We start from the raw sequence: 24,546 nt of genomic DNA, 5'->3' as shown, positions 1-24,546 counted from the left end.
ATTCACGATGAGCCAGGCAAAATGCCCCCCGCAAAGGAATGCCCACAGCACTGATGCTATTAGCCTGTGCCTGGCAGTGCCCTTTCATCTTCCCAGGAAATAGGGATTGCTGGTGAAGCAAACATAAGAGCTGGCTAAGTTGTCCTCCTCTCTACCTGGGAGCCACACCCAAAGGAGGAGCCTCCACCCCCACCCAAGGAAAGCAAGCTGTTGATAAACGTGTTTTGGGTACAACCTCAAAGGCCCCAGTACATGTGGCCATGAGCCACCCTGAGCTCCCTAGCTGGGCCCCCTCCTCTACACTTCTGCCCCTGTGGGGAGTCCCGGAGGCTCCATCACAGGCTTCGCCGCCATGCCCTCTGGCTGTGATGCCAAAGTGCAGGGCAGGTAGGCATCGTGGATGACCTGTCGGACAGTGGCCCGGAAAGTCTTGCTGACAAAGCAGTAGAGGCCGAAGTTGGCTGCCGTGTGGAGCATGGCCACCATATTGGCCACATCCAAGGCCAGGTGGACCCTCCAGTCCCGGTGGACAGGGGCCACGTACATGTGGTAGAGCATGACGAAGACCCGGGGCGCCCACAGGAGGGTGAACAGTGTGGTGATGCCCAGGAGGATGGCTGTGCTCTTGCCCACCCGGGGCTGCAGCCCACTCCGGCCCCTCCTCCGTAGCCGGTGGATGATGGCCGAGTTGGTGACCAGGAACACGCCACAAGGGATGAAATAGACAGTGAGACAGTGAGCCCACTTGAGGACCTCGTCCAGTGTTCTGGGTGAGTCGGTGTCTCTCCACATGTCCAGCCACCAGTAGAAGGGGATGCCGGTCAACAGGGCAGCACTCAGGACAGCAGCAATGGCCCGGCGGGTCCGGCCTGGGGACGAGGCGGCCCGATGGTGCAGGGGGTGGCACAGGGCAGTGTAGCGGTCAACCGTGAGCAGGATGGCGATCCAGACTGAGGCGTGGTTGGCAGCAAACTCCAGGATGTTGGCCGTGCGCACCACAGCCTGGGGCACCTGGCGGGCCAGCACTGCTCCCTGCAGGAGGAAGCCCGCGAACACGATGACCACCTGGATGATGATATCCGAGGCTGTGAGCGCCAGAAGGTAGTAGTAGGAGGGCCTCCTGGTCCTGGTGGCAAGGCGCGCCAGGGCCACTGCGGTCAGGAGGCTGACTGAGGGCAGCCGAGGTGAGGGAGGGGAGAGGCATCAGAAGAGAGCTCAGACTCTGCTTTCCAAGGTGTCGCCATCGCACCTCCCCATCTGCATGTGCAGAGGCTGCGCTGGCTTCTCTTTTTTCTCCTTCCAGATCCTTCTGAAACCCCACTTTGCCCAGAAGGCCACCCAGGCCAGCTCTGCCCTGTCCATCCACTGCAGGCCACTGGCTGTACCCCGGTTATGCACAGGTAAGTGCACATGGAAGGGTCCTCAGCAGCCACCTGTCCTGGCCAGGTGTGGTGGCTCACGCCTGTAATCCAGCACTTTGGGAGGCCAAGGCGAGCAGATCACCTGAGGTCAGGAGTTCAAGACCAGCCTGACCAACATGGAGAAACCCCGTCTCTGTTAAAAAAATATACAAATTAGCCAGGCACGGTGGTGCATGCCTGTAATCCCAGCTACTTGGGAGGCTGAGGCAGGAGAATTGCTTGAACCTGGGAAGTGGAGGCTGCAATGAGCCGAGATCATGCCACTGCACTCCAGCCTGGGTGACAGAGTGAGACTCCATCTCAAAAAAAAAAAAAAAGCTACCTGTCCTATGGCATTGTCCTCCAAGTCCTTTTTAGGTTTTCTGTGTCCTCCAGAATGGAGGCGTCCCTAGACACAGGCATGGGTTTAGCTATCAGACTTGGGGAAATCCCCAGGGCCGAGACCACCCGTCCTTCCCATATCCACACACCCACCTCTGCCCCAAGCTCTGCTCTCTGAAGGCATGGGCAGCACGGGGAGCTTTGTACTGAGCTGAGCCAGTTCCTATGTGAATTTTGTTATCCTAAGAGTGCGCTCACTGCTGGGGAAAACTTGGGTTTAGCTGTGAGCACCCCCAATCCTAGCCCCTTACTTGTATTCCCCTCCAGTGACCCAGAACACCCTGACAATGGCAAGGAAAGACCAGGGGTCTATGATCCAGGGCCTCAGGGGTCAAACACAGAGGACTGGCACCCATTGAAGGAGGATCCCCATTTCTGGCCAAGCCCAAGTCCCCAGACCCCAGCTCCCCACTCACCAGGCAGCCCCAAGCCCAGCAGGACACTGTAGTAGATGACAGGGATGACGCCAGCCACACACGGGGACCTCTCTGCGATCTCTGGCCAGTGGCTTTCAAACTCCTGGCTCAGCCCGCTGACGTGGGGCGTGGGCAGCAGGGTCACTCGTGGCTGGCCAGCTAGAAGGTGCGGATGGGCAGAGTCAGAGCCTCTGGTCTATTTCTAACCTGGCTGGGCGCAGCCCCGCCCTGACCTGGGGTCTTTCTAGTCACCCTGCTCTGTGCAGACCCTCTAGTCAGACCCAGCTGAGTGCACTGTCTGTTGCTGTGAGAATTCTTGCCAAGACCACCCTCACCCCCACCCCATGTCACCCCACTCCCTCAGTGGCCCGGCTCCCCCACTGATGGGAAGTCCCTGGCAGCACGGCCTGCTGCCATAGAGACCATTGCTCCCCATGGGTCCTCCCCATGGGCCCTCACCCGGCCTAGCAGGGGCTCTGAAACAGGGGGCACTTGTCGAGGTGCAGGCTCCTGGGCCGCCTCCGGGCCAGAGGGTCTGAAGCGGGGTTGCAGCAGCCGTGCTTGTAATCAGCAACCTGGGTGATTCCGACCCGGGTGATGCCAGCCACACACAGGGACCTCTCTAGGAGGTCCACAGTGGAGGCCCCAGGTCTGCACAGCTCCACTCAACAGCTGTCCCCCTCTAAGGAGAGGCTGTTGGTAGGGCCCCCTCTTTTCTAAACTAAAGATACCCTCTTCAAAGGTGAGCACCACTAAAGCTGGAATGGCCCAAGTCCACAGATGGGGAAACTCAGTCCACAGGGGTAAGGTGGCTGGTCTAGGATAAGCACCGTCCACTCTGGCCCCTGTTCCCCTGAAGCCACACTGCGCGTCTCTTTCAGGCTGAACTCCAGCTTTTCGTTTCCTGCTGAGGCCGGGGGGCTCACTGCTCACTCACTCTCAGCTTTGGCCCCTACTCCACCCTCTAGGTCCCTAACCTGCCTCCTGTTCCCTCCTGCCTTTCCACCTTATTGCCCCCAGCACACCCCACTTCAAGATGCCTTACCTGTCTCTCGTCCCTCAAGCCCCATGCTCTGGGGCCCTGAGTCCTGGGTCACCTGTGGCTTTTTCTGAGGGTCCCCGCAGCTCCCTGTCAGCATCGCCAGCTGTACCTCTCACCCCTTGGCTCTCCAAGTGGTTGTTTGCCCCAGGATCCTTACGCAGACACTGAGCCTGTTAGTGCAGGGGGCGGGGCGGGGGAAGGAGGAGGAAGGAACTGGTGGGCGGAGGCACCGGGGAAAGAGCTAGAGTAGATGCTGGTGGAGCAAACCAGGGTGCTCTAAGGCGCACAGGCAGGGGAAGGGGTCGGGCTGGGCAGGGGCTTCAGCTTCAGGAGAGACGAGCTGAGGGTGGCATGGGGTTCACAGGTATGTCTATGCCTGGGGGAGCAGGAAGTGAGGAGAAGAGGCAGGATGGCAGGATGGGGGTTCTGGGGGGCTGCCTCGTGCCCCGGGGCACTCTGTGAGCTGGCCTGTGTTCAGCTGGGGTCAAACCTGGGGCTGAGGACTTTGGGGACAGGCAGAAGGACTCAGGGTGCTGACTCTATGAGCATCCAGACTGAAAGGGAAGAGAGTAGGGCACCTCTGTGAGGAGTTGGGGAAGTCGTGCCAGGTAGGAGTGGTAAGGCTGCCACAGACAGGGCTATGATCCCAAGAGGCTCAGGGGACCAGGTGCACAGGGTCAGTCCTGCAGTGGCCATGGTGGGGGAGGTGGAGGCTACCCCCAGGGGCAGGATGGCAGGCAGCCGTGCACAGGGTGGGGCATCCTCTGGGAGCAGCCGGACGAGGCTGCCTGCAGCCGGTGCTGGGAAACCACAGTCCTGCAAGCTGTTGTTTCCCTGGCCCTGGTGAAATGGACCATCCCTCAAGAATATCAATCCCTGGCAAATAAACAACAGCCGTTGCTGGTGTGCACTCAGAAGAGGCCAGACTGGCTCTCCTGCCCTAGAGGAAGAGTGACCAGAGCAGCCCACAAGCAGGTACCCGGGACATGGATGCCCCGTGGACGGTCTCGGGAGGAGAGCTCAGGCCCCCCTGGAATCACCTCCCATGGCCTGTCCTCTGGGAATGCAGCAGAAAATATGGCAGGAAATATAGGGAGCTTCCCAGCTCTGGGAGTTAGATCTCACATCAGAGCCTGGAACTCCCCATCCCAACCCCCCCTCGGATACTCACAGCGCAGGCCCTGCTGCCCCCTGGTGGCCACATCCTGACCCTGCAAGCCTGAAAGTCCCATGGTTTGGCTAGGCACCCTGGGTGGCACAGTGGGACTGGAGACGGAGCTGCCCGCTCAGGGCAGGTCCTCTGGTGGAGTGCTGGGACCCCAGCCCCAGAAAGTGCAAGTAGCACAGATGACGCCCCAGGCCACCACCTCCTTGCAGCAGGAGGCTAGGGGTGAGAGGAGGCTGACCCTCTCTTCAAGGAGCTGCCATGGGTGAGGGGCAAGGAGGGTCCCTGCCAACATTTACCGAGTGCCCACCCTGTCCCTACACTTTGTTTTTTAAATTTTATGTATAGATATAGAGAGAGTTTGGGGCCTCGCTGTGTTGCCGAGGCTGGTCTGGAACTCCAGGCTTCAAGTGGTCCTTCTGCCTTGGCCTCTCAAAGAGCTGGGATTACAGGTGTGAGTCACCATGCCAAGCCCACTTTGTTTCTTTGAGGGATGTACACTTGACTGGAAACCTTAAATATTCTTCAGACGGAACACAAGGGTTTCAACCAAGGCTGTCACACAGGCTACACAGAAAACTAGAGCTCCCTGGATTCAGAGCGAGGAGAGGGAGAGATGGAGGAGGGGGACTGAGTTTGCTACAATGATGCCCCATGCACGTCCTTCCAGCAACTTACCATCCCACCCCATAGAAGGCCTGTTCTGGGAGGCAGCTGGATTCACCTGGCGGAAACTGCTGGAGTCCTTGGATGGCCTTATTCGGAGGTCCCAGCTTCCCCCTGTGACCTGTGGAGACCTCAGCCACCTGGAATGGCTGAGACAAGAATGCTGGCTTTTCTGTGCATGGGACACCATTGATTTGTCTTCCTCAGTATATGCTTCTGTACCCAGGACAGCAGTGATGTCCTGCAGGGAAGTGGGGACCCACTGGATCTTTTGCTCCATGGGCAACATCATAATACTCATTGCTAACAACGCTGGGATCCATGGTTCAAGAGATGGAGCCTGGAGATGTCCAGCTCAGTGGCAGCAGCAGACAGGACAGGGCAACCACGTCATCAGCCAGCACACAGCCTATACAGAGGTGAGAGGCCCCTTCTTGGTGGTGGCGATTCTTTCCTACATGGTGTGGTGTCAGTGACCAGGGTAGGCTGCTAGCCCACGGTGGAAGGGATCCTATCCACTAAGGCAGTCACCTCTGAGCCAGCCTGGGCAAGGTGAAAGATGTTATGAAGACCCAGCCGCACACCTTGACTTTTTTTTTCTTTTCTTTTTGAGACAGAGTCTCGCTCTGTCACCCAGGCTGGAGTGCAATGGTGCTATCTCGGCTCACTGCAACCTCTGCCTCCTGGGTTCCAGTGATTCTCCTGCCTCAGCCTCCCAAGTAGCTGGGATTACAGGTGCCTGCCACCATGCCTGGCTAATTTTTGTATTTTTAGTAGAGACGGGGTTTCACCGTGTTAGCCAGGCTGGTCCTGAGCTCCTGGCCTCAGGTGATATGCCCACCTGGGTCTCCCAAAAATGCTGGGATCACAGGTGTGAGCCACCGCACCCGGCCACACCTTGACCTTTTTGGTCTCTGAAGTCTTCAGCCCTGATCAGTCCAGCCAGAGCCACCAGGCCTGAGCACCAGGGTCTCTCTCTCTCTTTTTTTTCCTTCTGCCTCCCTACCCCTCAAGACAGGGTCTCACTCTGTCACCCAGGCTGTGGTACAGTGGTGTGATCATAGCTCACTGCAGCCTCGAACTCCCAGGCTCAAGTGATCCTCCCATCTCAGCCTCCCAAATAGCTGGCATTACAGGCAAGCACCAACACGCCCAGCTAATTTTCGTATTTTTTGTAGAGACGGTGTTTCGCCATGTTGCCTAGGCTGGTCTCGAGCTCCTGGGCTCATGCAATCCACCTGCCTCGGCCTCCCAGAGTGCTGGGATTACAGATGTGAGCCACCACACCTGGCCAAGGATTCCTTCTTATTTAAGTTTTTGTTTGTTTGAGACAGAGTCTCACCCTGTTGCCCAGGCTGGAGTGCAGGGGTGCAATCTCAGCTCACTGCAACCTCTGCTTCCCGGGTTCAAGCGATTTTCCTGCCTCAGCCTCCCAAGTAGCTGGGATTACAGTCACCAGCCACCAAGCTTGGCTAATATTTGTAGTTTTAGTAGAGACGGGGTTTTACCATGTTGCCCGGGCTGGGCTTGAACTCCTGACCTCAAGTGATCCACCCGCCTCAGCCTCCCAAAGTGCTGGAATTAAAGGTGTGAGACATCATGCCCGGCCTCATATTTACCTTTATGTGCTCCCCTGTGTACACGGGGCCTGGAACTTAAACCCATGATCTCCTGTCCCCAGTCCAAGTGGCCCAGTGACTCAGGGAACCCTAAGTCAGGACAGGAGGCACTACAGATGCAAGGGAGGGTGCCAGGTAGGGCCAGGCTGCGTCTGGAGCCCACCCCTCTGAGGTGTTACCACAGTCCAGTGTCTGATCACCCCCTTTGCAGATTCAGAAACTCTTTATCTGGTCCCAAGCTTGCAAGAGTTTTCCGTTGCTTTTACAGTACTAGAGATTCCTTGTCCAAAGGGATCACTTATCACAATTGGAAAAACTTCCCCAAAAAGACAGCATGGGCTGGACATGGTGGCTCACATCTGTAATCCCAGCACTTTGGGGAGGCCGAGGCGGGCAGATCACGAGGTCAGGAGATCGAGACCATCCTGGCCAACATGGTGAAACCCCGTCTCTACTAAAAATACAACAATTAGCCAGCCACTACAGGTAGTGGGTACCTGTAGTCCCAGCTACTCCGGAGGCAAAGGCAGGAGAATCGCCTGCACCCAGGAGGCAGAGGTTGCAGTGAGCTGAGATCGCACCACTGTACTCCAGCCTGGCGACAGAGTGAGACTCCATCTCAAACAAAACAAAACAAAACAAAACAAAACAAAAACACAACATGGGGTTGTGGAAAGAAAAGTCAAGTAGCCAGGTGCAGTGGTTCATACCTGTGGTCCCAGCTACTTGGAAGGCTGAGGCTGGAGGATTGCTTGAGCCCAGGAATTTGAGGCTGCAGTGAGCTATGACAGTGCCACCACACTCCAGCCTGGGTGAAAGAGTGAGACCCCATATCTAACAACAACAACAACAAAAATCAGAAAAAAGAAAAGTCAAGCACAACTCAGAACTCGAAAAATAAATCCTGCCTCTGAGGTTCCTGGTCATAAGACCTCAGACACATGGCTTGGGCTATAAACACTCCCGTCTGGGGCGGGAAGTAACACTCCTCTCTAGGATGGTGCTGGCTTGTGAATTCATCAGACTTGCCTTCAAGGAATTATGGCGCTCCCAGATCCATGGGGCCAATATATGTGTGTGTGTGTGTGTGTGTGTGTGTGTGTGTGTGTGTGTGTGTGTGTGTATATATATATATATATATATGCAGTGCTGCAGATTCTTCCTCTCAAAGACTTGGCCAAGCACCGTGGCCCACGCCTGTAATCCCAGCACTTTGGGAGGCCAAGGCGGGAGGATCACCTGAGGTGAGGAGATCGAGACCAGCCTGGCCAACATGGTGAAACCTCATCTCTACTAAAAATACAAAAATTAGCTGCACATAGTAGTGCACACCTGTAATCCCAGCTACACAGGAGGCTGAGGCAGGAGAATTGTTTGAACCCAGAAGGTGGAGGTTGCAGTGAGCTGAGATGGCGCCACCGCACTCCAGCCTGGGCGACAGAGCGAGGCTTCATCTCAAAAGAAAAAAAAAAAGGGCTCAGGGCAAATACCTGGCTTCCTCTCTCCCGCCCCAGGACACTCCCCCACACATACATATGCATGTACACATACCACACACACATATCCACAAATATGCATGCACACACACCACGCACATGCATGGACACACACAATACGCACACACATATAAATAGGCACATGCACACACACGCACTGCATACACACATGTGCACATGCATACCATACACACACACACACACACACACACACACACTCCAGCAATGCTCTGTTACGAAAATGAGAGGCCGGGCACGGTGGCTCACGCCTGTAATCCCAGCACTTTGGGAGGCCGAGGCGGTCGGATCACGAGGTCAGGAGATTGAGACCATCCCGGCTAACACGGTAAAACCCCGTCTCTACTGAAAGTACAAAAAATTAGCTGAGCGTGGTGGTGGGCGCCTGTAGTCCCAGCTACTCGGGAGGCTGAGGCAGGAGAATGGTGTGAACCCAGGAGGCAGAGCTTGCAGTGAGCCAAGATTGTGCCACTGCACTCCAGCCTGGGCAATGGTGCAGGACTCCGTCTCAAAAAAAAAGAAAAAAAGAAAATGAGAACAGAGAATGCCTCTATGTGGAAAGCTAGTTTCTAAATCATTCGAAGAGGGCCAGGGATAAGGGAGATTAGAAATAATGGGAGGTGGGGCCTGTCAGAGATGGGGAGTCAGAGGTGACTCTTCCGGGTCTTCTTGATGATCCAGGGCCTCCCAGCTTCCTTCACACTTGAAATGCCACCAATCTAGCTCTAGTAGGTAGCGCTTGTCTTGGGGTGCGTATAACAATTGTCTGGGAGTACTTAGAAAATACAGACAGCCAGACCCTGCCCCTGAAAATCCTGGTTCCAAGGTGGAGCATGGGAGATTCTAATGCAGGTGGCTACCCTTCAAGAATGACTGACACAAAATTAGCTAGGCGTGGTGGCACTGCCTTTGTCCCAGCTACTTGGGAGGCTGAGGCAGGAGGATCGCTTGGGCCTAGGAGTTTGAGGCTGCAGTGAGCTATGATTGTGTCACTGCACTCCAGCCTTGGTGACTGAGAGATTCTGCCTCTAGAAAAGCAAAACAAAACAAAGAATGACTGATGCAGAGGCTGAAGGAGGCTGGAGTTGAGAGGCACAAATATCAAACGACAGTTTTCTGAGTAGCGGGTTCTCTTATCATCAATAACATTCCTATCGAAAGCACTGTGCTTGGAAGCTGGGATGCCCTCAGGGACCAGGGCTGCCCTGCTGCATGGAGACTTGGACTTGCTGGGTTGAGCCAGGACATGGTACAGCCCATGGGAAGGGCAGGCGGGCAGCCAGTGGGCAAGGGATAGTGGATTTGGACGAGGGGAGCCAGGCATGAAACTCAGGGCAGCTGGAGGGGTTTCCGCTGGGCTGGAGAGCTCCAACTCTGCCAACCCGGACGAGGCAGGTGCCAGACCCAGTTCTTGCTCTCTCTGCGGCTCCAGAGAGGGGGTGGAGCTGCTGGGTCTCTGTGCCAGCCAGAGGCAGAAATCAATGCATCGAGCTGGCCCCTGGGATCCAGAGAGCCAGGGAGAGGAAGATTTAATTCATCCCCAACCTAGAGCCCTGCCTCGGAGTCAGATCCCTTGGGAGTCACCCACTTCGGTTAGCCAAGCTCAAAGGAGTCCCTCCCACGAAGAACTGGGGCAGACCCTGCTGGCTCCCTGCAAAGGTGAGGACTCACAGCATGCCACCCTACACACACACACACACACACACATGCGCGCGCGCTTTTGCTGAGCTCCAGACTCACTTTCCTCTCTCTGTTGCCTTTGTTTTTAGAAGAGCACTCCTCTGCACTAACCCAACTGAGACTGCAACCTAGCTCCCTGCCTCAGTTTCCTTACATTGGGAGTGAAACACCAGGTCTGCAGCATGCCTCCTTAGCCTGGAAAAGGAAAAATTACAGTGGGAAATAAGACAGAAGCTGGTAAAACAAGCCTTCCAAGGAGGTGAACCCAGAGACCTGAGGCCACTTGGGGAAGGAGAATTCAAGTCAGGAAATAGCAGGGCAGACAGTCCCCAGCCTTGGGCTGGCTGGAGCGCAGAGCTAGAAGGTGGCCAGCCCCGCTCTGGGCAGGGGTCACCCATGCAGTGGTGCACGGGGCAGGGTGCATCTGCTCTATGCCCAGCCCTGCCACCTGGCTCAGCTTGCCCCTGGGGGAGGCGACAGTCACAGTCCCCACAGAACTTTCCTGCCAGCCCATCACCCTCCCCACAGCATTCCAGGAACCTTCTTCAACAAAGAATATGAAACTGACATCAGTTGCCCATGGGCCCCTATTCGAGAGATCTCTGAGCTTCTCTCTGAGGAGCTGCCCCACCCCAAAATGGGAGTGGGGGAGGGGTGGGAGCCTCAGCCGCCTCTCCTTTCCTCTTCCAGGCCCTTCCTTTGCAGCCGGCTCACCATGGTGCTCCAGGCACGACGCTGCCAAGTGTGCTCTGTGCCAGGGCCGAGGCCTGGGGTTGGGGGAGGGAACTGGGGACCCTCAGGCCAATGGCTGCCAGTGGTCCTGGAGCCCCTCGCCTATTCTGCAGAGAGCCTGAAACTTTCCAGGGAGAGGCACGGCTAGCCCTGCTGGGTGGTAAGGAGATTGGGGGAGGAGGGTTCCGGATCTGTTCCCCTTGGGGGCCCACAGGCAGCACAATAGCCCCCGGGGCTGCCGCTCTCTGGCTTAAGTGGTTGCCTGGGCAACAGCTGGGGCCAGTTTCCACCAATCCATGGAGGAGGCTGAGTGGGGGAGGGAGGCCAAGCAGGAAGGGGGGTGCCGTCCCCTTGTGCCGGATCCTATATAAGGAAGAGGGATGTGAGCAGAGTGGTCTGGGCTTCACCGTCCCTCCAGTGGACTTGGGGGCTGAGCATAAAGATGCCTAGGAGAGGCTACTCCAAGCCTGGGTCCTGGGGCAGCTTCTGGGCCATGCTGACCTTGGTGGGCCTGGTCACCCATGCAGGTGAGCGGGCAGTGGGCCAGGTGCGGGGCAGGGTGGAGCGGCAGGTCGTCCCAGCCCTGGCTGCACGCGGCCGGCCAGGAGGGGGCGGTGTCCAGCTGCTGGGGAGAGCACGGGGTGGACCGGACAGCTCCACGGACTCATCTGTCTGAAGGAAGGAGGGGCCTGGCAGGCAGGTGGGCAGGGCTCTTAAGGACAAGAGGACCCTCCATTGCCCATTGTCCTGGGCAGAGGCTGAATGGGGACGCCATCAGCATTCAGGTCCTTCAAAGTGACAGCTGGGGAAGGCCGTGCTGGGAAACATACTACCCGCTTCTCTTTCACCCTCCCTTTGTCCCTCGGCCTCCCTCTCTCATGCACAGATGCTCTGCTCCTGTGTGAGCCTTCTCTCCTGTGTGCACCACGGGCCTGCATGTGCTGTGCGTGCACATGTGGCTGCGGCCCATCTGCTGCAATCAGGCCCCCGCCCGCCTCCCTCTGCGAGGCTCCCCTCGCTGTTCTCGGCTTGGGAAAGCTGCTGACAGTTTCTATAACTGAGTGCATATCCCCATCTGACTGTCGGGGCATCCTGGAGCATAAGCAAAGGGCCGGCCTGGCCAGCCTCAATGCTCAGTTACCCAGGAAGTTCTATTCCAGCACCAGCTGGCCCTTCGCACTTTCTCCTGTCCCCTGCTGGCCACCCCAGAAAATCGGCTTCTGTCTCAGAGATCAGGACCCAAGAGGGCAGGGCTGGGCCTGGAAAACAGCTTCCCTTCCACACCCGCAGCCTCGTCTCACACCCGCCCCTCTCTCCTGCTACTGCTGTGGCCTCCCTAATGCTCTCTCTGCTCCCAGTACCCCAGGCCCATTCCGTTCAAGGGCCTTTGCGGGGCTGGAGCCTGCCTTGACACTGGTTCCCTGGCTGGCTCCTTTAAAACTGGAGTGCTTATTTGTGTGTGTCTTACCCGTTTGATATGTCAATTCGTGCTTTTATGAGCATAAGAACTTGGCTTGCTTTGTCCACTGCCACATCCCAAGCTCTTAGGAGAATGTCTAGCATATAGTAAGTGCTCAATAAATATTTGTTAGTGAATGCACCACTTCTGACTACTGCTCCAAGGGGTTAGATGGATAATTCTTTAGGAAGTGAGAAGGGTGGGACCACGAGTTTCCTCAACCCTTGCCTGGGGGGCTGGCAGCATGGAGATGAGTTCTGGGCATGTTGTCCTAAACCTGAGCACAACCTCCCCCTGCCTGAATGCACCCCCTTCCAAGAGCATCCTCTTGGGGTTTGCATTGGCATGACCTTCCCACCCAGGGTGCGTTTGTATGTGCACCGATGCATCCACGCGCCTCGTGGGCACAAACAGGTATGCACATACAACCCGCCTAGGCCCACCTTGCCCTCTGCTCACACCCATGCATATGTCTCCAGCTGGTCCCTCTCCACCCCTGACTGAGGTTCTGGGCCCGGGCACCTTCTCAGGCTATGCTGTGTTCCTTCCTGCTGCAGCACAGAGAGCCGATGTTGGCGGGGAGGCAGCTGGCACCTCCATCAACCACTCCCAGGCGGTGCTCCAGCGCTTGCAGGAGCTGCTGCGGCAGGGCAACGCCAGCGATGTGGTTCTGCGGGTGCAGGCTGCGGGCACCGATGAGGTCCGGGTATTCCACGCCCACCGCCTGCTGCTGGGACTGCACAGTGAGCTGTTCCTGGAGCTGCTAAGTAACCAGAGCGAGGCGGTGCTGCAGGAGCCACAGGACTGCGCCGCTGTCTTCGACAAGTTCATCAGGTGGGGACGCGGAAGACTAGGGGATGGCTTCATCCCTTCCTCAGCCCCCGGCTCCTCCACCTACAGGGTCAGGGAAGCCCAGGCCCTTAGAGGTTGTTATGTCCATTTCCCCGGACATCACTGGGATGACAGTGACCCCTGCATCCCTTCTTCCACTGTACAGCTCCCTGTCTTTGCCCGTGTCATCTGTGCAGTTTGATGTCACTTTCGGTTCCTAGTAACCCCCTCAGAGCTGTTTCCAAACCTGGCCATAGACAGCTTTTAAAAACTACAGTTTTGGGGCCGGGCACGGTGGCTCATGCCTGTAATCCCAGCAATTTGGGAGGCTGAGGCAGGTGGATCACTTGAGGTCAGGAGTTCAAGACCAGCCTGGCCAACATGGTGAAACCCTGTCTCTACTAAAAATATAGAAAATTAGCTGGGTGTGGTGGCACACGACTGTAATCCCAGCTATTTGGGAGGCTAAGGCAGGAGAATGGCTTGAACCTGGGAGGCAGAGTTTGGGTTTGCAGTGAGCTGAGATTGTGCCACTAGATTCCAGCCTGGGTGACAGAGCAGGATTCTGTCTGAAAAAAATCAACCAACCAACCAACCAACCAACCAAACAAACAAACAAAAAAACTACAGTTTCACGGATCCCAACCTGGATTGTCAGTTTCAGGTCTAGGGTTAGGGCCAGCAATCATTTTTTATTTTATTTTATTTATTTACTTTTTATTTTCCTAAATATTCCATTATAGACGAATATTTTTTATTTGAAAGCATCGCTGTGGTTTTGGTGTTTGGCCAGGTTTGGAACCACAGGGCTAGGGAGCTGAAAAAGTTAGACGGCTCTCTCCACCTCCTGCCTCCTGCCGTGATGCTGCTCAGGGGGTGCCATTCACACTAGTGTCTAAGAAAGTAACTCTGTTCTAACGGCTCAGACGAGATGCCTGCAGAATTCCATACATTGCTTCCAAGTTCCAGGCAACAGGAAAGGGGATAAGACAGAAGGGCAAAAAGGGTCTTCCTGTTAACCCGGAATCAGTTGCATTTAATCAGCCTTCCTGCAAATCCCAAACTGCGCCCATTGACCAGCAGTTAGTCACATGGCCAAGGCCAGAATGAGGGAGCCTGGGAAATGTGGTCTTTTATTCCCAGAGGCAATCACGCAGGGGAAAGGGGAGAAATGGACGTTGGGGAAGATGGCTGGCAGTGGCTGCCACACTCCTATAGAGGCAAGTGCGGTGCCGTGTGCCGGTGGGGACTGGCAGGAAAGGTGAGCCATGGGACAGTGGCAGAAGTAAGACGAAGAGATACTCAGCAGAAGTGATCACCAACAGTAGGAGAGGAAAAAGAAAGGTGAGGCTGCAAAAAAGAAATGGGGGCTCACACCTGTAATCCCAGCACTTTGAGAGGCCAAGGTGGGAGGACTGCTCAAGTCCAGGAGTTTGAGACCAACCTGAGCAATACAGAAAGACCCCATCTCAAAAAAAAAAAAAAAAAAAAAAAAAGCTGGAGTGTCGTGGCATGATGATCATAGCTCACTGCAGCCTTGAACTCCTAGGCTGAAGCTATCTTCCCACCTCAGACTCCCAGGCAGCTGGGACTACAAGCGTGCACCACCACACATGACTAATGTTTTAACATTTTTTATTTTTTGTAGAGATAGGGTCTTGCTATGTTGCCCAAGCTGGTCTTGAACTCCTGGCCTCAAGCAATCCTCCCATCTTGGCCTTCCAAAGTGCTGAGATTCCAGGTGTGAGCCACTAGCACCCACCTGGCCTGTAGCAAGATTCTTTATTCTCCTCTGGTTGTCACAGTAACCCTGAGGGGTGTGTGCCACTCCCCCTTTCCTAGGTGATTGATTAGCCTAAGGTTCACTGAAGTTAAGTGACTTGCCCAGACTCATGGCAAGGAGAAGGCAGGCCATGGATCCCAACCAGACTGGAAACCCCAAAGGCAGGAGCCACGTCTGTTTTGTTCCAGCCTAGGGCTGCACGCCTAGTAGAGGCACAGTCAATGCAGGCAATTTCTACATCACCGCGGAAACGGAAAGAAGAGCCTGTGAAGTAAGAATGGCCTGGAAGGGTCCTTGAAAGGAAAACATGGGAAGCCTCAGGGTGGGGCTTCCACTGTGTTTGCACCCGGACAGTGAAGCTCCAACTCCAGGCCGGGTCCCCTGTGGACTCTAAAAAATCTATCCTGGGAGGTGGGTACCGCCCTGACCCCGCCCCACCTCTCGGTCTCTCCCGCAGGTACCTGTACTGCGGGGAGCTGACCGTGCTGCTGACCCAGGCCATCCCCCTGCACAGACTGGCCACCAAGTACGGCGTGTCCTCCCTGCAGCGCGGCGTGGCCGACTACATGCGCGCGCACCTGGCGGGAGGCGCGGGCCCGGCGGTGGGCTGGTACCACTACGCGGTGGGCACCGGGGACGAGGCCCTGCGCGAGAGCTGCCTGCAGTTCCTGGCCTGGAACCTGTCGGCCGTGGCGGCCAGCACCGAGTGGGGCGCCGTGAGCCCCGAGCTGCTCTGGCAGCTCCTGCAACGCTCGGACCTGGTGCTGCAGGATGAACTGGAGCTGTTCCACGCGCTGGAGGCCTGGCTGGGTCGCGCGCGGCCGCCCCCTGCCGTGGCCGAGCGGGCGCTGCGCGCCATACGCTACCCCATGATCCCACCGGCACAGCTGTTCCAGCTGCAGGCGCGCTCGGCAGCCCTGGCGCGCCACGGCCCCGCGGTGGCCGACCTCCTGCTGCAGGCCTACCAGTTCCACGCCGCGTCGCCGCTGCACTACGCCAAGTTCTTCGACGTCAACGGCAGCGCCTTCCTGCCCCGCAACTACCTCGCGCCCGCCTGGGGCGCCCCGTGGGTCATCAACAACCCGGCCCGCGACGACCGCAGCACCAGCTTCCAGACGCAGCTGGGCCCGAGTGGCCACGACGCGGGCCGCCGGGTCACCTGGAACGTGCTCTTCTCGCCGCGCTGGCTGCCCGTCAGCCTGCGGCCCGTTTACGCGGACGCCGCGGGCACTGCTCTGCCCGCCGCGCGCCCGGAGGACGGCCGACCGCGGCTGGTGGTGACGCCGGCCAGCAGCGGCGGCGACGCGGCGGGCGTGAGCTTCCAGAAGACGGTGCTGGTGGGGGCGCGCCAGCAGGGCCGCCTGCTGGTCCGCCACGCCTACAGCTTCCACCAGAGCAGCGAGGAGGCCGGCGACTTCCTGGCGCACGCCGACCTGCAGCGGCGCAACTCCGAGTACCTGGTTGAGAACGCCCTGCACCTGCACCTCATCGTCAAGCCCGTATACCACACCCTTATCCGGACCCCCAAGTAGCCTCGGGGTCTGGGAATAAAGGCCTGGCCTAGGTGGTCCCTGTGGGTCTGGGAAGGGCAAGGCGAGCCTGGAGGTGGCAACAAGCCTGGTCCCCTGGATGGCCAGGCGCCGGCCACCCTAGGGCTGGGGTGGAGTCCAGGTGAGGCGTGGTAGACAAGATGCCTGGTTTCAAGAGCTGATTTCACAGCTGACTTGAAGGAACGTTCTTGGTCCTGAATAAACCGATGCTCAGAGTGGTAAAGGGATGATTGAACCACTCAGTTTCTGGGTAAAAACAACCCAGGGAGGGTCCCACAAGCCAGGGGGTTTAGGGGTTTCACTCCCCTTTGTTGAGCTTTCCCCCCACCCAGACACAGAACTAGGGCAGGTAAAAGCATCCACATGGTCACAGCAACCCACCTGCCTGGGAGACAGGGAGCGCCCCATTCCCCTTGCGGGGGAGTCAGGGAGCACCCCATTCCCCTTGCAGGAGTTTCCTCACTTTGAGGCTGAGGGGCTTAGCTGGGCAGTTTCTGAGCCCTGACCTCGAGGGGCAACCGCCTCATCTGGGTTGTGAGACTTTCTGGCATCTGGGCCGCCTCAGGTCCCTGACCTCTCCTGGGAGGGTGCCTGGGCAGGTGTGAAGGCCAGTGGGATAGGGACATAACGGATCTTGCTAGCCCCACCATGGGGAGAGGCCTCAGGATCTAGAGAAAAACCCCTCTCCCCCAGGTATTTGTAGGTTGGTGCTATATAGCGAGCCAGGGGTAGATGGGGACTAGGGGGAGCGGGAGTTGGTTGAATCTTAGTCATGGCCACCCCACATTCCAGACAAGGTCAAATTTCCAACACAACCATCAAGACCCAAATGGGATTTTATTGTTAAAAAGGAAGGGTGAGAAAAAACCACTGCCAAGTAACAAAACCAGATTCCCTCCCTCACCCACATCCCCAATTGTAATACGTGAAGTGCCTGTCGGCGCCTCCCCAACCATCCAGGATGCCCGTGCCCCACACGTGGGCCAGGAGCCCCGTCTCACTGTCAGCTGCTTTCCTCCGTTACCAAGGCCGAGGCTGGCCTCAGGGCTGTGCAGGTTTTGGCAACAGCATTCTGTCCAGGGCTGGGAAGCCAGGGAGCCCAGCCGTCCTGGCCATGTCCCCTGGCCTCACCTCTTTTCCCCAGTGGCACTGAAAGCATGGGAGGGTTGGGCAGAGACCCCAGTTCCTGGGTCTCAGGAGCCCTGGCCTGCTGAGATCCTGAGCTTACTTCCTGGTCATCTCCATCTGCCCAGCCTCCACCTCCCATGCCCTGCTAGACCCCATTCAGTCTTGGGAGGTGAGAGAGCCAGTTCCAGGCAGGGCCCCTCAGTTATGCCGGGAGCATCCATCTTTGCCATGGGTGCTTGTGCCGTGGGGCAGGCGGGGCCCACGGGTAGCCCGTCGAGAACCACCACCTGGGTTGGGGGGAACAGCCAGGGGTGAGGAGTCCCCCGGGCCTGCAACAGGGAAAGGGGCAGGATCAGTGGTTTCGGAATGCCTCCCCAACTCCTCTCCCATCACCCAGTGGCCTTGAACTCTCTAGGGGCACCACCCCAGGATGCCAGTCCCATGAGTATTCTGCTAGAACCATGCTTCCAGCAAGGGGCAGCCAGAGGCGCAGGAAATGCAATGTGTCTTCTCTGCTCCCCTGCCTGGTGGAGGCCTCCCCTCCCCATCCCCTCCTTGCCCATACTGACCCGTGTTCTGGCTTGGAGGGAGTTTGACTTTGGCCAAAGGTAGCGTGACCTTTCCCAGATGCCGGATACCAGGGGCTGGGTGCCTGCACACTGGCATCCTGTGGTCCGAGATGCGCTCCGCCTGATGGGGCCCCAGGAGGTGTGTCTTGGGGTGGGAGAGCTGTGATGGTTGAACAGTGGGGTGAGGCCGAGAGCGGCACAGGGATCTGCTACCAGGATCTGTCCCAGCTACTATGCTAGGCTGGGGACAGAGACTGTGGAGGGTGGTGCCTCCAGGTATGGGGTAGGCTAGAGGTGCCCTGGAGCCTTTGGAGAAATCCAGCCCTCAGGCCTCCAGCTGCTATGGGAGTGCCTAGACACCCACCCCTGCGCCTCGCCTCACCCCTTGCCCGGTGACCTCGAAGGATCGGGACCTCCGCTTCCTTCTCTTTGCCTCCAGCGACTCCTCCCTTTTCTTGCCCAGGCTTTTCTTCTGGCCACGCAGCCAGGGCCTGGGGCCGTCCCCATGATGTCCGACTGCCCGGGACGGGGCCTCGCCCGTGCTGCTGGACAGGTTGTCCTCACTGGCAGCATGCTGTAGTGTGGGGCTGGGCGGCCGCTTGCAGGCCAGTGGGCCTGGTGGCCGCGCATCGTCGCCCTCGCTCAGTGAGTGCAGGGACAGGCTGCTGCGCTCTGTCGCGGGTGCCAGCAGGTGTCGCCCCTCGGTTCCCAGGGCCCGCGAGCGCCGCCGGGCGGCCTTCACCCAGATGCACTTGGTGCCAGTCAGGATCTCCTTCCTCTCTGCAGCGGGACACGGGGAACATACAACCCGAGATCAAGGCCACCTCTCAACACCCTCCTCTGACATGGCAGACGTGGGTAGGAGCCAGACCTCCTGGGTTTCAATCCTAGCACTTCCAGGGGTTTGCTATGTAAGAAACTTGGGCCCATTTCCGAGCCTCACTTTCATCTGCAAATGGGGGATGGTAAAACTAATGCCATCGGTTATTTCCAGGATTAATTGAGGAAATGGGCTCAACCTACATTATCCAGGGGGCAGACATTGAATCGATATTTGCTATTACAGTGATTACTGAGCGGAGGCGGCGGGGGAGGGGGGACATAAGTCTCCATGCCACATGTCTCTTTTCTAATTTCCGATTCTGCCCCCATCTCTCTAAATGTCCTTGACTTAGAGAAGACTCTTAAGTGTCCTTGACTGACTAATCCTCAGGGGCAATGGTGCCTCTACAGAATGTGTAGCACCCAATGCTTGGTTGCACTTGGCAGTGCAGAGGGCAGGAAAGGGCTTTGAGCTGGGTGATCTGAACAGTTTAGACAAGGCCAGGTGAGGTGGCCGGGCAGCAGAGGGCACACATACCTTTGTGGGACAAGGGGATCTCCGACAGGTTCTCACTGCTGTCAGGGGAAGAGTTGATCCAGCTGCCCAGGCTGTCCTGAGCCGGGGCCTGTGGGGTGGAGTGGTTGGGAGGAGGAAACCCTTAAACACAGCAGGGACCCCATGCCCCACTCAGCAGAGACAGCGGGGCCTCAAGCTGGTGCCGTTTGGGAAAGGGTCCATCCCAACTGCTGCTGTCCACCCCCATGTCCCGCACCCGCTGCAGTGGAGCTCGTGGGGCCATCGGGTACTGAGAGCTCACCTCCTGCGTCACCAGGCTGCCGAGCTGGATGGGAGGTGGGGTGGGCACAGAGGAGCTTTTTGCCTGCCAGGCCCCAGTACCAGCCTTGAACACGTGGTGGCCTTCACTGAAGTTGGCAGAGGAAGATGAGTGGCTGTAGACCAGGCTATCTCACCGAGGTCCCACCCCCACCCCAGGGGAGAAGCTGTTGGTGTGAAAGGAGAGAGAACCCAGGAGTCCTGGCTCCAGACCTGGGCCACCTGCTCCCTCTCATTGCTGCTCTGTGTTCCCCATTTAGCCTTAGTCTGGGTTGGCCTCTCTGGGACAGGGCACAGGGTGGGGGCTGGGGCAGGTGGCCCCCATCTCACCTCTCTGTGCTGAGGGGAGGGAGGGCGCTGTTCTGCAGGTGCTGGGCATCAGAGCTCAATGTCTTCACACTCTCCAGGTCAGAATCTGGGGTCAGTGAGGTTCCTGCTGGGGTAATTTTGGGCAAGGAGCTGTCCTGGGGAGGAGGGAGCCAGGGTGGACAGTTAGAAGATTTGGTCCTGGACCAAATCAGCACAGAGTCACAAAGGCTTACAGGGTGACAAGGGCTGTAAGATGGCCTGGGAGCCCCAGAAGGGCAGTGGGCTTGTGTTTGGGTCCTCGGGGTTAAGCTGTGGTCTGCTAGGCTTCCCCAGTGGCACTGCCTGATGCTTGGTCTCCTGGGAGGGCAGCTGGAGCCATTTGTGATATCTCAGATGGCCAGCCCTGACCCTCAGACCCTGGGTGGGAGCAAGTGATGCCCAGGAGTGCCCAAGGAGGAGGGTCTTACTCAGGCTTGACAAGGCTTTGGGTGGGGTAAGAAGGAAAGGGAGTCAACTCCCTGGGGTGCCAGCCAGCCTGGTCCTGTCCCCTCCAGCTGCCTGAAGGCATTGCCTTGGTCATCAGCCCCTCCCTGGGCACATGTGCCCATGTTCAGGCCGCCCAGGCGCCCACCCACCTGCAGGGCCCTGGAGGCCACTTGGTCCATGATGGTGGCCTGCTCCAGGCTGCCCTCCTCCAGCTCCCGCAGGTACACTTCGTAGAGCTCTTCCAGGCGCTGCGGGACGGCCAGGTTGTAGTCTGCTGGGGAAGGGGCAGGGCTCAGTGAGTGCCAGCGGCCCCCCCGCGGGTGGCTCAGATGCGCGGGGGCGTGGGCCCTACCGTCGATGATCTGCCGCTGGCCCTGGATAATCTCGTCGCAGAGACTGCGGTGCTGCTCCAGGCGGCGCACGGCCTCGTGGCGGTGGCGGAGCGCACCGTCGCGGAGCAGCGCGTGCGACTGCATCTCGGTGTTCTCCACCTCGAGCTCGTGCACGCGGCACAGCAGGCTGAGCACCTCGCGCTGCTCCTCGGAGCCGATGCGCCGCGGCAGCGTCTCCTCCAGGCGCCGGCCCCGCGCGCGCAGCTCCCGGCAGCGCTGCTCCAGCGCCAGCTGCAGGAGGCGCAGGTCAGCATCTGGCAGCGGGGAGAGGGGTCCGATCCGCCTGCCCAGCTCGTCCTCGACCCTCCAGCGCCTGGACTCCAGGCATCTGTCTGGAGCTCCAGCCTGAGGCCAACCCTAAAAGCTGAATCTTGGGCCTTACAATCAGGGACTGCTCCAAGGTGGCCCCTCAGTGTCCACTTTCTTGCTATCCTGACCGCAAACCACCCCTGGAACCAGCTTGGGGGATAACTGCTCAACCCCAGCCCATGTGACCCCCTCAGGGCTCATGATACCCTAAAGCCCCTTTGGTCTGGGTATGTCCCAGAACAGAAGGCAAAGATCTGTTATTGGGAAAACCCTAATTATTATTATTATTTTTCTTTTTTGAGACAGGATCTCTCTCTGTCACCCAGGCTGGAGTGCGGTGGCGCTATCCCGGCTCCCTGCAACCTCTGCAGGGTTGCAAGTGATTCTTATTCCTCTGCCATCCGAGTAGCTGGGATTACAGGCGTGAGCCACCACACTAGGCTTTTTTTTTTTTTTTTTTGTATTTTTAGTAAAGACGGGATTTCGCCATGTTGGCCAGGCTGGTCTCGAACTCCTGGCCTCAAGTGATCTGCCTACCTCAACTTCCCAACGTGCTGAGATTACAGGTGTGAGTCACTGTGCCCAGCCTGAAAAACCCTAATTATAACATTAGTTACCATTTTTTGAGTCCTTGGTATGTGCCAGGCATTTATGTAATCTTCCCAGCAACCCCATGAGGGCTGCACCATGGACTGCTCCCATTTTACAGGTGGGGAATGTGACGCATAGAGAAGTTAAAGAGCTTAGCAAAGTCACACAGGATTTGTGGCCTGAGTTCCCAAGTCTCACGGCTACCCCCACCCTGGCCCCTCCGCCTTGCCTCTCAAACCTGCTCACCCTGTCCCCTAAACCCACTCTCCTTGTCCCCCCAAACCCTGGACACCTTCTGCTTGCGCAGTTGCTTCTGCTCGTCCACCAGGGCTGCAATGCTCTCCCGGGCTGCGGCCACCTCGGGTGGCTCCAGGATGTCTGGTTGGTCATCACCTGTGTCTGAGTCCTTCTCGCTGTCGTCCTTAGCGTAGCACTCCTTTCGCTGCTCCTCCCGCCATTTGAGGGCCCGGCGGGACTTCTCATGCTTCCAGCTGCCGCAGCCCCACCCAGAGAGACAGGGCATTCAGGCCATGGGGGCAGGGCACACTGTACAGCCACAGGTCGTGCTCCTCTGTCCCAGGCACAGGGGTGGGGCCTGGAGGGTCCTGGGAGGGGGGCTTACCCGGCGATGGTGAGCAGGTGTCGGGAGGTGTCAATCTGGACCTCCATGGCGCGGTTCTCCAGCTCCAGCAGGCGCCTCCGCACATCCATCTGCTCCTGGAAGGCGCTGGCGAGCTGCTCCCGAAGCTGTCCCATGCCAGCCTTCTCACCCTGCCCGCTGTGCAGCTGGACCTCAGCTGCCGATGGGTGAGGGTGGGCAAGGTAGAGGAGGCGGCAAGTTCAGCTAGCAAAGCCTGGGCCCACCTGGGCCCCTCCCCTCCTTTTCTTCCCAACTCAGTGCTCCCACTTCCTGTCCAACTGCTTCCTCCAGGAAGACCCCCTAGATTACTACATCCTCCCAGACCCCACTCCCACATTGAGTCTTCAAGCTGTTGCCCAAAAGCAATTCCCAGCTCCTTGGTATGAACTGGGCTCCTGCTAACCCTTACAGCACCTCTGTGCCAACTATAAAAAGGTGCCCCTAGAAACTACCGTCTGTGGCCAGGCACAGTAGCTTACACCTGTAATCCCAGCACTTTGGGAGGCCTAGGCAGGCAGATCACCTGAGGTCGGGAGTTCGAGACCAGCCTGGCCAACATGGTGAAACCTCGTCTCTACTAAAAATACAAAAATTAGCCAGGTGTGGTGGCGGGCACCTGTAATCCCAGCTACTTGGGAGGCTGAGGCAGAAGAATCGCTTGAACCCGGGAGGCAGAGGTTGCAGTAAGCCTAGATCATGCCACTGCACTCCAGCCTGGGCAACAGAGCAAGACTCTGTCTCAAAAAAAAAAAAAAATCTTTACTGTCTGCCTCTCTCTTTATATTAGTAAATTTTTTTTTAAAAAAAGCTTTACTGTCTGTTGGAAAACCATCATAGCAAATATGCAGGTCTACAAGGAAACGGAGCCCATTCCGGGGGTGCAGGCATGACCTCGCAGCCCTACGCCACAGCCCTTAGTGTGCGCCCTGCGCAGCTCATTGCTCACGTGCCTCTCCCTCGTGGGATCCCACCTACTCTTCCAAGGTGGGGTTGGGAAATCGGCTTGTGATCTCTGGTAACTGTCTGAAGCAGAGATCACAACCCCATTTAACAGCTGAATGCTAGGAGGCTCAGAGCTGGTGAGTGCCTAGCTCAACCACCCAGCCAGAAAGAGCCCGATTCTGGATTTGAACACAACATGGCCTGATCCCAGAGCAACGTGAGGCTGGCCGGAGGGGGCTGCCACTCACACAGACCCACAGGCGCACCTTGGATGTGGCGGATGTCACCCCGATCCTGCCGGCCCCGGGCCTGGCCCCGCCCAGTCTGCTCATCAATCTTGCGCTTGAGTCGCTGGATCTCGCCCCGCAGGTCAGCGATGATGCTGGTGTACTGGGCGATGTGGTAGGAGACGTTCAGGAGGTTCTGCTTCACCTGCAGGGAACACGTATGGAGCGGAGGGGATGCAGTCACCCCAGGTGCACTCACCGAGGCCTGCCTGCAGGGCCTTTCTTCCCCCTGCCTCCCCCAGTCTTTCTGGGTGACAGTAATGGCCTCCTTTCCTCCACTTCCACAACCTCCTGTCACACTCACTGCTAGATCTCATCAACCTTCAGTGGCTTCCTAATGCCTGCGGGGAACGTCCTCATTCCTCCACCCGTTGTTGAAGGGCCACCCCCATCTCTCTGATTTTCTCTGGGCTCACCGCTCCTGCATGAACATCCCACTCCAGTTGAAGACCTGTCCTGCTCTCCCCATACCCACCACAGACGCCATCCCCTTCCTGCCTTTGGAACCTGTGCTCTCCCTGCTCCCACCTTTCTGGAATGTCCTCCCAGCCTTCAGGGTCCCACTCACAGTCTCCAGAGAGTTCCACTGGACCCCACCAGGCCACCCCCACCTCCTGTTCCTGTCTTGCCCCAGCACCTACCATTGGCATCATTTACCTGCTATTAGGAATATTCTGAACCATCAATGAGCTGTTTCAAGAATGTGTCTCCCGTCCCCCATTGAGGGGTTGGAATAAAACTTACAGCCCTCAGGGCAGCAGCTGGCAAGTGTTAGGTGTTGGGAGAATGTTCCCTACATGCTATCATACATGAATCCATTCCCACTCCTCCACACACGAACAGGTGGAAATGGATTTCTAAGCGGATGGCAAGGGTTCCGACATGCTTACAGACAGGTGAGGACACGGACTTGGAAACGGGGCAGATCTCATTTCCATCCTCAGCGCCATCACTGGCCAGCTGGGAAGTCACTTAAC

At 57.7% G+C, this 24,546-nt stretch overlaps 3 protein-coding genes across 15 annotated transcripts in view, besides 6 other annotated features; 1 reads left to right on the top strand and 2 right to left on the bottom strand.

The window, feature by feature from the left end:
• Positions 1–297: 297 nt before the first annotated feature.
• On the bottom strand, positions 298–5,392 carry GPR142 (G protein-coupled receptor 142). Of its 3 annotated transcripts, none has more exons than NM_001331076.1 (4): positions 5,104–5,392; positions 3,264–3,430; positions 2,219–2,377; positions 298–1,169 (listed from the first exon to the last, which is right to left on the bottom strand). In NM_001331076.1, the coding sequence occupies exons 2-4, from the start codon at positions 3,355–3,357 to the stop codon at positions 298–300; spliced, it is 1,125 nt and encodes a 374-aa protein (NP_001318005.1). In that variant the 5' UTR covers positions 3,358–3,430; positions 5,104–5,392. The 3 variants fall into 3 exon arrangements, with proteins under 3 accessions (NP_001318005.1, NP_001318006.1, NP_861455.1); NM_001331077.1 differs by having other exon boundaries at positions 5,150–5,392; NM_181790.1 differs by having other exon boundaries at positions 3,316–3,430; positions 5,150–5,392.
• Positions 3,790–4,778: an enhancer, noted in NCBI's record as "H3K4me1 hESC enhancer chr17:72364259-72365247 (GRCh37/hg19 assembly coordinates)". NCBI's record gives its function as "activates a minimal SCP1, AML or CMV promoter by ChIP-STARR-seq in primed H9 embryonic stem cells {active_cell/tissue: H9 hESC(primed)}" and the evidence as "EXISTENCE:reporter gene assay evidence [ECO:0000049][PMID:30033119]".
• A 4,178-nt stretch (positions 5,393–9,570) lies between the features above and the next one.
• On the top strand, positions 9,571–16,482 carry BTBD17 (BTB domain containing 17). Of its 3 annotated transcripts, none has more exons than XM_017024622.2 (5): positions 9,571–9,883; positions 9,994–10,077; positions 10,595–10,796; positions 12,653–12,929; positions 15,167–16,482. In XM_017024622.2, exons 3-5 carry the CDS (start codon positions 10,709–10,711, stop codon positions 16,239–16,241), a joined length of 1,440 nt encoding a protein of 479 aa, XP_016880111.1. In that variant the 5' UTR covers positions 9,571–9,883; positions 9,994–10,077; positions 10,595–10,708; the 3' UTR covers positions 16,242–16,482. The 3 variants fall into 3 exon arrangements, with proteins under 3 accessions (XP_016880111.1, XP_011523093.1, NP_001073935.1); XM_011524791.3 differs by having other exon boundaries at positions 9,994–10,141; NM_001080466.2 differs by lacking the exons at positions 9,571–9,883; positions 9,994–10,077; positions 10,595–10,796 and adding an exon at positions 11,030–11,163.
• Positions 11,159–11,208: a silencer, noted in NCBI's record as "silent region_8930". NCBI's record gives its function as "represses an Ori minimal core promoter by ATAC-STARR-seq in GM12878 lymphoblastoid cells {active_cell/tissue: GM12878}" and the evidence as "EXISTENCE:reporter gene assay evidence [ECO:0000049][PMID:35858748]".
• Positions 11,289–11,338: a silencer, noted in NCBI's record as "silent region_8929". NCBI's record gives its function as "represses an Ori minimal core promoter by ATAC-STARR-seq in GM12878 lymphoblastoid cells {active_cell/tissue: GM12878}" and the evidence as "EXISTENCE:reporter gene assay evidence [ECO:0000049][PMID:35858748]".
• Positions 15,071–15,943: an enhancer, noted in NCBI's record as "H3K4me1 hESC enhancer chr17:72353094-72353966 (GRCh37/hg19 assembly coordinates)". NCBI's record gives its function as "activates a minimal SCP1, AML or CMV promoter by ChIP-STARR-seq in naive H9 embryonic stem cells {active_cell/tissue: H9 hESC(naive)}" and the evidence as "EXISTENCE:reporter gene assay evidence [ECO:0000049][PMID:30033119]".
• A 595-nt stretch (positions 16,483–17,077) lies between the features above and the next one.
• KIF19 (kinesin family member 19) overlaps positions 17,078–24,546 on the bottom strand; it is a 29,595-nt gene continuing 22,126 nt past the window's right edge. For 4 of the 9 annotated variants that reach the window (XM_017024150.2, XM_005257029.2, XM_017024152.2 and 1 more), the window contains 11 exons: positions 23,549–23,714; positions 22,323–22,497; positions 21,993–22,191; positions 20,761–21,031; positions 20,558–20,682; positions 19,944–20,077; positions 19,597–19,702; positions 19,317–19,404; positions 18,339–18,736; positions 17,957–18,116; positions 17,078–17,716 (listed from right to left, as the gene is read on the bottom strand). In XM_017024150.2, coding sequence (XP_016879639.1) covers positions 17,586–17,716; positions 17,957–18,116; positions 18,339–18,736; positions 19,317–19,404; positions 19,597–19,702; positions 19,944–20,077; positions 20,558–20,682; positions 20,761–21,031; positions 21,993–22,191; positions 22,323–22,497; positions 23,549–23,714 — 1,953 coding nt within the window. In that variant the 3' untranslated portion in view covers positions 17,078–17,585. Of the gene's footprint in view, positions 17,717–17,956; positions 18,117–18,338; positions 18,737–19,316; positions 19,405–19,596; positions 19,703–19,943; positions 20,078–20,557; positions 20,683–20,760; positions 21,032–21,992; positions 22,192–22,322; positions 22,498–23,548; positions 23,715–24,546 lie in introns of those variants that run through there. The other 5 variants (XM_017024151.2, NM_153209.4, XM_017024153.2 and 2 more) reach the window with 2 other exon arrangements.
• Positions 18,765–18,814: an enhancer, noted in NCBI's record as "active region_12704". NCBI's record gives its function as "activates an Ori minimal core promoter by ATAC-STARR-seq in GM12878 lymphoblastoid cells {active_cell/tissue: GM12878}" and the evidence as "EXISTENCE:reporter gene assay evidence [ECO:0000049][PMID:35858748]".
• Positions 20,118–20,648: an enhancer, noted in NCBI's record as "H3K27ac-H3K4me1 hESC enhancer chr17:72348389-72348919 (GRCh37/hg19 assembly coordinates)". NCBI's record gives its function as "activates a minimal SCP1, AML or CMV promoter by ChIP-STARR-seq in naive H9 embryonic stem cells {active_cell/tissue: H9 hESC(naive)}" and the evidence as "EXISTENCE:reporter gene assay evidence [ECO:0000049][PMID:30033119]".

This window comes from Homo sapiens, chromosome 17 (genome assembly GCF_000001405.40).
Source record: "Homo sapiens chromosome 17, GRCh38.p14 Primary Assembly".
NCBI lineage: Eukaryota > Metazoa > Chordata > Mammalia > Primates > Hominidae > Homo > Homo sapiens.
This window is presented reverse-complemented; position numbering and strand designations above follow the sequence as displayed.

Coding starts and splice junctions, on each gene's coding strand:
- GPR142 (NM_181790.1), bottom strand. CDS start 5,392: ATGAGTATTATGATGTTGCCCATGGAGCAAAAGATCCAGTGGGTCCCC. Junction 2,378..3,315: donor ACCCTCAGAAAAAGCCACAG/GTGACCCAGGAC, acceptor CGCACCTTCTAG/CTGGCCAGCCACGAGTGACC. Junction 1,170..2,218: donor GCTGGGCTTGGGGCTGCCTG/GTGAGTGGGGAG, acceptor GGCTGCCCTCAG/TCAGCCTCCTGACCGCAGTG.
- BTBD17 (XM_017024622.2), top strand. CDS start 10,709: ATGGCTGCCAGTGGTCCTGGAGCCCCTCGCCTATTCTGCAGAGAGCCT. Junction 10,797..12,652: donor ACGGCTAGCCCTGCTGGGTG/GTAAGGAGATTG, acceptor TTCCTGCTGCAG/CACAGAGAGCCGATGTTGGC. Junction 12,930..15,166: donor GTCTTCGACAAGTTCATCAG/GTGGGGACGCGG, acceptor TCTCTCCCGCAG/GTACCTGTACTGCGGGGAGC.